Below are 8862 nucleotides of genomic sequence, written 5' to 3'. Positions count from 1 at the left end.
ACCAAGTGCACACTGGTTTCTCCAGACAGATCGTGGCCTGGGCTCCTTCTAGCCCCGTGCTTGACTATATCGTAGGTTTCAGATTTTATTGAAGTAGGGATTTTAAGAAGGGTAGTTAGCTGTTGTCCTGAGGGTAGCGAAATGCCGCGTGTCTGATACTTGGGATCCTGGCTTGCGGGCCCTCCTAGACTCTGCCCTTGCAGCTCCGCTACCCCCTCCCCTCCCTGTCCCTCCCAGCCTTCACCCCGCCCGGCCTCAGCTACTCCTCAGGCACCCCACGCGCTCACAACCGCCTGCCCGACCGCCTGCTCCTCCCACTGCCTCCGCCCCTCCCACTCGGCCCCCCGCGTCGATCTCGCCGCACGCTGACTTTGCTCTCACTGCCCGGCCAGACGCACTTCCCGCCTTCGCCTAGGTCTGCACCGCCACCGCCGCCCTCTCCCGCGCGTCCCTCACCCGGTCCGCCACTGCCGCGCCTCAGAATCCGAAGGCTCGGTTCCAGCGCAGCCATCCACGCCGCCGCCACGACCGACTCCGGAGCCACGCGCTGCAACCGCCACCAACGCCTTGCCGCCGCCGCTCGCCCGCCGCCCACCATGGCCCAGCAGCAAACAGGTAGCAGGAAACGGAAAGCGCCCGCGGTCGAGGCGGACGCCGAGAGCTCGCCGTCGCAGGGCTTGGCGGCAGCGGACGGTGAGGGGCCGCTGCTACTCAAGAGGCAGAGGCGGCCGGCGACGTATCGCTCGATGGCGCACTATCTGAAGGTTCGGGAGGTAGGCGGGTGGGGCCCCGCCAGGCTCCAGGGCTTCGATGGCGAGCTGCGGGGCTACGCGGTACAGAGGCTGCCCGAGCTGCTGACGGAGCGCCAACTGGAGCTGGGCACGGTCAACAAGGTGTTCGCGTCACAGTGGCTGAACTCCAGGCAGGTGGTGTGCGGCACCAAGTGTAACACGCTTTTCGTGGTGGACGTGGAGTCAGGCCACATCGCGCGCATTCCCCTCTTGCGGGACAGTGAGGCCAGGCTGGCCCAGGACCAACAGGGCTGCGGCATCCATGCCATCGAGCTGAATCCCTCCAAGACGCTTCTGGCCACCGGCGGCGAAAACCCCAACAGCCTGGCCATCTACCAGCTGCCCTCCCTGGATCCCCTGTGCCTGGGCGACCGCCATGGCCACAAGGACTGGATCTTCGCCGTCGCCTGGCTGAGTGACACCGTAGCCGTGAGCGGCTCCCGCGACGGCACTGTGGCGCTGTGGCGGATGGACCCGGACAAGTTCGATGACACTGTTGCCTGGCATAGCGAGGTGGGTCTCCCCGTATATGCCCACATCCGTCCGAGGGATGTGGAGGCCATCCCCAGGGCCATCATCAACCCCAGTAACCGCAAGGTGCGGGCCCTGGCCTGCGGCGGCAAGAACCAGGAACTGGGAGCGGTGTCCTTGGACGGCTACTTCCACCTGTGGAAAGCCGGGAGCGCACTATCCAGGCTGCTGTCCATCAGGCTGCCCTACTTCCGGGATAATGTGTGCCTGACCTACTGTGATGATATGTCTGTGTACGCCGTGGGCTCCCATTCCCACGTCTCTTTCCTGGATCTGCGCCAGGACCAGCAGAACATCCGGCCCCTGTGTTCTCGAGAGGGTGGCACAGGCGTGCGGTCGCTGAGCTTCTACCGCCACATCATCACTGTGGGCACCGGTCAGGGCTCCCTGCTCTTCTATGACGTCCGGGCCCAGAAATTCCTGGAGGAAAGAGCCTCCGCCACCCTGGAGTCCTCTTCGGGACCTGCAAGGAGGAAGCTCAGGCTTGCCTGTGGCAGAGGCTGGCTCAACCACAATGATTTCTGGGTGAATTACTTTGGTGGCATGGAAGTGTTTCCCAATGCGCTCTACACCCACTGCTACAACTGGCCTGAGATGAAGCTCTTTGTGGCTGGGGGGCCTCTCCCTGCAGGCCTCCATGGGAACTATGCAGGCCTCTGGAGCTAAGGATGACCGCCTTGTACTCCAGGTACACAGATTTACCTTTCAGTTCCGCCCGACTGCCCTTCATGCTGCATTTTTTTGCTTTTAACTCTGTGCGTCTTTTGTTTTCCAGGTGGAACCAGCCCAGCTTAATTTGTACTCCTCCAAGCAGAGAGAGTGAGTGGTCCTTTGGTCAATGAAAACTTGGCTTTAAGACTTTTTGACTCCTTTCCAACACCATCTTTTGGAATTTTCATACAAAGAAATTTGGTTAATCGTTAATCTTTAGTTGCATTCTCTCTTTGAGTGATTCATACATTCTGTTTCTTTAAGAAGATGCAGTCATGGTCTTTCAGTTATGTATATTTGTTTTCCTTGTTTTTCCTCGTTACCAATATTACAACAGCATTGTTTTCAGTTATTTTTCATTGCAGATACGAAGAGAAAATTTTCTAGTAAGCAAGGTGTTCCTACATCTTTTCTGGAGAGCTTACCATAGTTTTATAGCATTGTTCAATTGGAAAAGTACATTCCAAGTTCTAGATTACCTACGTTTGGAAACACTTAATTTACAAATTGTGATCTTAGTGTATATAGTTTTTACGTTGTTGGTGCTAAAGTGCTTTTTTGAAGTTTATTCTCTTTCAAAATAAGTTATCATAGAATCTTGTGCTTGTATCAAACTCCTAATTGGTCGGAACACTTTAGGAGTGCAGGGGTTCTGCTTCATTGCATTTTCAGAATTAACCTGAAAGTTGAAACAACCATTTTTTTTTATTTCAAAACTTATTTAAGTTGTTATCACCTGTCCTTAAATAGATAAAAGAATGTGTATTTTTTCACTTGTTGCCTTAGTACTATCAAGACTTGTGAATATATTTGAATGTATGTTGTTTGAAAAACTTGCACAGGGCATTGGAGCCATCATGAAAAGCAGGAAATGTAAACGTGGAATGTATGGCAGGCTGGGCAGAATGTATACTGATCCAGGGTATAGACTAGATATTTTTGCTGTTGCTGTTTTTATTATAAAATGTTATATTTGAGGATATTTAACATTTTCCAATTCTGCTTAAGAGGTAATTCACAATAAAAAAAACAAAGACCAAAAATAGCACATTCTGAAAAAAAGATTCTTAATAAGATTTTATTTTGTGAAGTTCAAAGATTCTTTCCTAAAGTATAACGTGTTGTTAAAAAGTAGTGGTGTTATAACTCTCAATGTAATAGTATGCAATATCAAGAACACAGGAAGTTCGTTTCAAGATAGGTGAGATTTAAAATAAATAGGATGAGGTTGAAGAAAAGTATATTGGAGCGCAGATAAATATAAATTGTGGACTGCTATGAAAACAGGTTGTACTTCTCCATATGTGAGACTACTGGAAGTGAGAAGCAATATTTGTCATTTCTAAAACTGGCCAGGCTGTGCTGACCCAGGATTAGTAATTTGTTATGTCTGTTTTCCCTTAGATGTTTGGGCACTCAGATGCTATCTTGGTGCACACACACAACATTGCTGTTCAGTCACAAATCCGAACAACTTAATATAATAAATTGTACTAAAAGTCATTTAAGAAATACCAAAAAGTAAGCTTTTGTTTCTAACCATTGTTATAAAGGCTAATATAATTGTTGTTATATAGCAGTAAGATATATTTGTGTGCATGCGTCTCCAAGTCAGTTGTAAATGTCTTGAGAACAGAGAATACAATTGTCATCTTTATATTGCCTCATTTCTCCACTAATACTTAGCAAATAAAAGGCAATAAGTAAATATGTACTGGTTGAATGCCTCTGGAGACCTAGAGTTTAAAGTTTTAAGTCAATAAATAAATAAATATTTACTCTTAAATAATATAGAATCCTGTTGTGTTTTCCCCCCTTTTTTGGTAAACTTTGCCCTGATTTATTTCCAGGTCAGGCTATTGTGCTTATCCATTCATAAACTTACCCATATGTGATACTAGCAGAGGAAAGAACATGTATAAATCTTAGTTGACACTGGAAATTAATCTTTTCACCTGCAACCATTTAGGTTTGAAGATTTATTTAAAATATTTTTGTTTTTTTTTCAGAAATTAGTTTTGGAATATCCTTTGTAGTTTGTCTTTTAACTTTAAAAACATATTTGCTAAAAATTTCCTTAAGTGTTACCCAATAACTTCAAAGTATTCGCTGCCTATCTTCTTGTAGGCAATGGGGAATTTTTATGGTATTCTTGCAATTATTTTGGAAATAATGTGGAAAACATTTTTAGAGGAAATAACACTTTCTACCTGGGGTGGGATTTTAGAGAAGAAATAGAAGGCATGTCTGATTTCTTCTCTGTCTTGGTCCTTAATTTCATCACCGACTCACTCTTAACTTTTTCGTATTTTAGGCTATATCTTTTTAATGCCAAATCACATGGCTTAACTTTTTAAAAACTAAATATCCTATGTGTATATTTCTATTTTGTAACCATCTAGTTATTTTGAAATATTTTCTAATTCTGACACAGTGATCTATAGAACTATGATTAATTATGTAACCTGTGACTGTGAAATAATTGAAAAAAAAAACGCCAGCCCTCCAGAAAGTCCATGAATACAACTCGCTTAAAGTACATAAGGAAGTGCAAATATTTATGTATAAATTACCTATCACTGATGCCTGAAAGGCCTCAGTTACTTATAGCTATGCATAAAAAGGTGAATTATTTTTTTTTTATTTTCTTTTTTTATTATTATCATACTTTGAGTTTTAGGGTACATGTGCACAATGTGCAGGTTAGTTACATATGTATACATGTGCCATGTTGGTGTGCTGCACCCATTAACTCGTCATTTAGCATTAGGTATATCTCCTAATACTATCCCTCCCCCCTCCCCCCACCCCACAACAGTCCCCGGAGTGTGATGTTACCCTTCCTGTGTCCAGGTGTTCTCATTGTTCAATTCCCACCTATGAGTGAGAACATGCGGTGTTTGGTTTTTTTCCTTGCGATAGTTTGCTGAGAATGATGGTTTCCAGTTTCATCCATGTCCCTACAAAGGACATGAACTTATCATTTTTTATGGCTGCATAGTATTCCATGGTGTATATGTGCCACATTTTCTTAATCCAGTCTATCGTTGTTGGACATTTGGGTTGGTTCCAAGTCTTTGCTATTGTGAATAGTGCCACAATAAACATACGTGTGCATGTGTCTTTATAGCAGCATGATTTATAATCCTTTGGGTATATACCCAGTAATGGGATGGCTGGGTCAGATGGTATTTCTAGTTCTAGATCCCTGAGGAATCGCCACAGTGCCTTCCACAAGGGTCGAACTAGTTTACAGTCCCACCAACAGTGTAAAAGTGTTCCTATTTCTCCACATCCTCTCCAGCACCTGTTGTTTCCTGACTTTTTAATGATCGCCATAAAATGTGAATTATCTTTATCTCTAACTACCTATTCACATATTTCTCGCCAAGCATACTTCTGATCCAAAAGTTTATGTTCCTCTCCTTTACTCTTTGGAATGAGTTAATTTCTATTTTCTTTTAAAAAGGGGTGAAATAATTTACTTATCAAGGATATCTACTGGAATAAATTGAGGTGACTACTCTGGAAAAAATTCATTTGTTAAATACACTCTAGCATTAATGATAAACAAAATTGAATTTTCCAGAGTTTGATTTTTATCCACTTGTACTCAGTGTTGAACAATTTGTCAAAATTTTTTCATTAATTGCTAATTTAGATTGATTTTAGAAAGCAATTCACAAAGCCCTCTTGGATGTTTTACTGACAGCTTCCTAATTTCTCCAAGTATTATTAGGTAACCCAGCTACATTCAACATGTCACTATGTGAGCTGCTCAGGGATGCAGTTCAGTGAGAATGTCATGTACTAATATGAAAGAGAGGCTGCATAAGCCACAGGTGTTTGCTTTAAGATATGTTATTGTGAGATCTGCTCAAGAAAGGGTTGCCTAAAAGTATTTCACACCACCAGTCTGCTGCAGACGCAGAGACACCTAGCATTGGAATTTGGCATCAATGTAAGGGCAATGTGTTTGCAGGAGGTTGCCATAAAATGGTCAGACTGATCCTTAGGAAGGAGGGTTCTTTCGCTGATACATATTTAGTTTGCACAGGTATTGGTCTTTGCTCCATATGCCCTTTGCCTACTTTTCTATTAAACTCTCTGTGACTTCCAATACAGAATTAAGCACTTAACTTCTCCATGCTCACAGTGACAGTTTTGTTGTTTTCTTTATTATAGCATTTAGCAGATTGTGATGCAGTCAGCTATGTGAGTGTTTAGCTTCCCTGCCCCTCCACTTGAATATGAGCTCTGTCACCCCAAACCTAGCATAATAGGCTGCACATACATGGCACTTAGGTGTTCAGTACAATGACTAATACATCAATACTTTTTCATAAATTACTTTATCAGATTAGTTGACCAAAACATTAGGGAAGATGATAAAGATTAAGTTGATGAATGAAGAGTATCCTGAAACAGGCCCCATGGTAATGACCATGGTGATTCATGGCATGAAATAATGTGGGTAGAGCAGCAGAAACTTAAATTACGTTTTGCCCAGGAATGATATTGGACCTGGAGTACCAAGATGAAATGGAATAAGTATTATTTCAGAATCATAAATACCTGGATTTGAATCCCAATTCTATTATTTGTTTATAATAAGCCATGGATATGCTGTTTAACTTCTCTAAACCTGTCCTTACATTACTAATTGTTCTATCCCCAGCATCTAGCATACTGCCTGATGCATAAGGCATTCAATTGATATTATTTTCCCCTCTAGAGTCCTATCAATTCTGATAGAAGGCATATGTATTTTTTTATTTGATTATTATAAAAACAGTTTATGTGCCTTGCAGAAAGTCAGACACATAAAGTAAAATATTTTTAAAAACCACCACATTTCCAGCAGCTGAAGATTACTACTGTCAGCAAGTTAGTGTACATCTTTCATGACTTTTTTGTACATATATGTACCATCCATGCAGTTGCTTCTAAAATATGAACATTTTGTTAAGGTTGTTTTGCAACCTACTTTTTTTCAGTTAATGTCTCCATGTTTTCGTCACAATATTTATCTTACCTAACATTCAGGGTGTTTTAAATGTGTACAGGCTGGGTCGGGCATGGTGGCTCACGCCTGTAATCCCAGCACTTTGGGAGGCCGAGGCGGGTGAATTACCTGAGGTCAGGAGTTCGAGACTAGCCTGGCCAACATGATGAAACCCCGTCTCTACTAAAAATACAAAAAATTAGCTGGGCATGCTGGCGCACACCTGTAATCCCAGCTACTCAAGAGGCTGAGGCAGGAGGATCGCTTGAACTCGGGAGGCGAGGGTTGCAGCGAGCCAAGATGGCGCCATTGCACTCCAGCCTGGGCAACAAGGGCGAAACTCCGTCAAAACAAAACCGAACAACAAAAAAAGAGGGGGCTGGGCGCGGTGGCTCACGCCTTTAATCCCAGCACTTTGGGAGGCCGAGGCGGGCGGATCACGAGGTCAGGAGATCGAGACCACCCTGGCTATCACGGTGAAACCCCGTCTCTACTAAAAATACAAAAAAAAAAAAAAAAAATTAGCCGGGCGTGGTGGCGGGCGCCTGTAGTCCCGACTACTCGGGAGGCTGGGGCAGGAGAATGGCGTGAACCGGTGAGGTGGAGCTTGCAGTGAGCGGAGATCCTGCCACTGCACTCCAGCCGGGGCGACAGCGAGACTCCGTCTCAAAAAAAAAAAAAAAAAAAAAAAAAGCTGTGTACAGGCTCACTACTTAGAAAATTGTTGCCATCACCAGAAATCATTAGTGACACATCAGATATTTAACCAAATATAAGAGGGTATACATACTTACACCTTAAGAGTTATTTTAAACATTTATAGCAGTACTCTCTGTCTAGCTATTTGCGTAATTCAGTGATTTTCAGACTTTAGAACACATTAGAGTCACTTGAACATATGTTGAAAGTAAGAGATGTTTCAACTCATACCTACTGTAACAGAATTTTCTTGTAAAAACATCATTTCATTTGAGTGTTTTCAGATTAATCCATTCAAAACCAAAACAAGACAGTAATAAAAACGTCGTCTGCCTTAGAGGTTTATGGGGTAGTAGAAGAGAAAGATAGTTACTTCACTAATCATGACAAAAAAGTAAGTATAGTATTAAGGATATATACTAAAAATAATGAGAATATGGAGAAAATAGCAATCAATTCTGCCTGGGAAGGTTACGGAGGGCTCCCAAAAAAGGCAGTAGTTGATCTGGGTCTGGAAAGTAAAATAAGAATGAAGAAGAAGAGCCAATATTGACTTCAAAGGACCTTGTGAATGTCTGAATCGTATGGGCACATGCATATGTACAGGGCTGTTGCAATTTGGCCTTGTGGACTTTGAAGTGCCTGTGGGATTTCCTGATGGAAATGTCTGTTTTGCAGTTAGACATATGGATTTGGTCCTCATAAGAGAGGTTAGGGCTGGAAACACAAGTGTGAAGATTATCACTATAGAAATAGTATTTGGGAGAGGCAAGGAGGGGTGTAGTGTGTAGTGTCGCAGAATCTAAGTCTTCTGGCTCTCATTTGAAAATTCATATATCTTTAAATAGTTCTACACATATATATATAGTGCACATATATATGTGTGGACGTATATAGGTCTACACATATAATAATGCATACCTACAGGGCTGTTGCATTTTGGCCTTGTGGACTTTGAAGTGCCTGTAGGATTTCCTGATGGAAACTTCTGTTTGGCAGTTAGAAATACGGATTTGGCACTCCTAAGAGAGGTTATATATGTATATATTTATGCATTATTATATGTCTGGGACATAGTAGGTAACTAATGACTTGTAGATTGATAGCCAAATAAATGTTTGTTTT

The 8862-nt window shown here is 42.9% G+C and overlaps 1 protein-coding gene across 1 annotated transcript; it reads left to right on the top strand.

Moving 5' to 3' along the window:
• DCAF12L1 (DDB1 and CUL4 associated factor 12 like 1) lies at positions 391-3822 on the top strand. Its single transcript, NM_178470.5, has 2 exons — positions 391-2010; positions 2098-3822. The coding sequence occupies exon 1, from the start codon at positions 597-599 to the stop codon at positions 1986-1988; it is 1392 nt and encodes a 463-aa protein (NP_848565.2). The 5' UTR covers positions 391-596; the 3' UTR covers positions 1989-2010; positions 2098-3822.

This window comes from Homo sapiens, chromosome X (genome assembly GCF_000001405.40).
Source record: "Homo sapiens chromosome X, GRCh38.p14 Primary Assembly".
Classification (NCBI taxonomy): Eukaryota; Metazoa; Chordata; class Mammalia; order Primates; family Hominidae; genus Homo; species Homo sapiens.
The sequence above is the reverse complement of the archived record's forward strand: the minus strand, read 5'-3'. Positions and strand labels throughout refer to the sequence as shown.

Bases quoted from the DNA above. Each gene is read 5' to 3' on its own strand.
- DCAF12L1 (NM_178470.5), top strand. From the start codon at position 597: ATGGCCCAGCAGCAAACAGGTAGCAGGAAACGGAAAGCGCCCGCGGTC.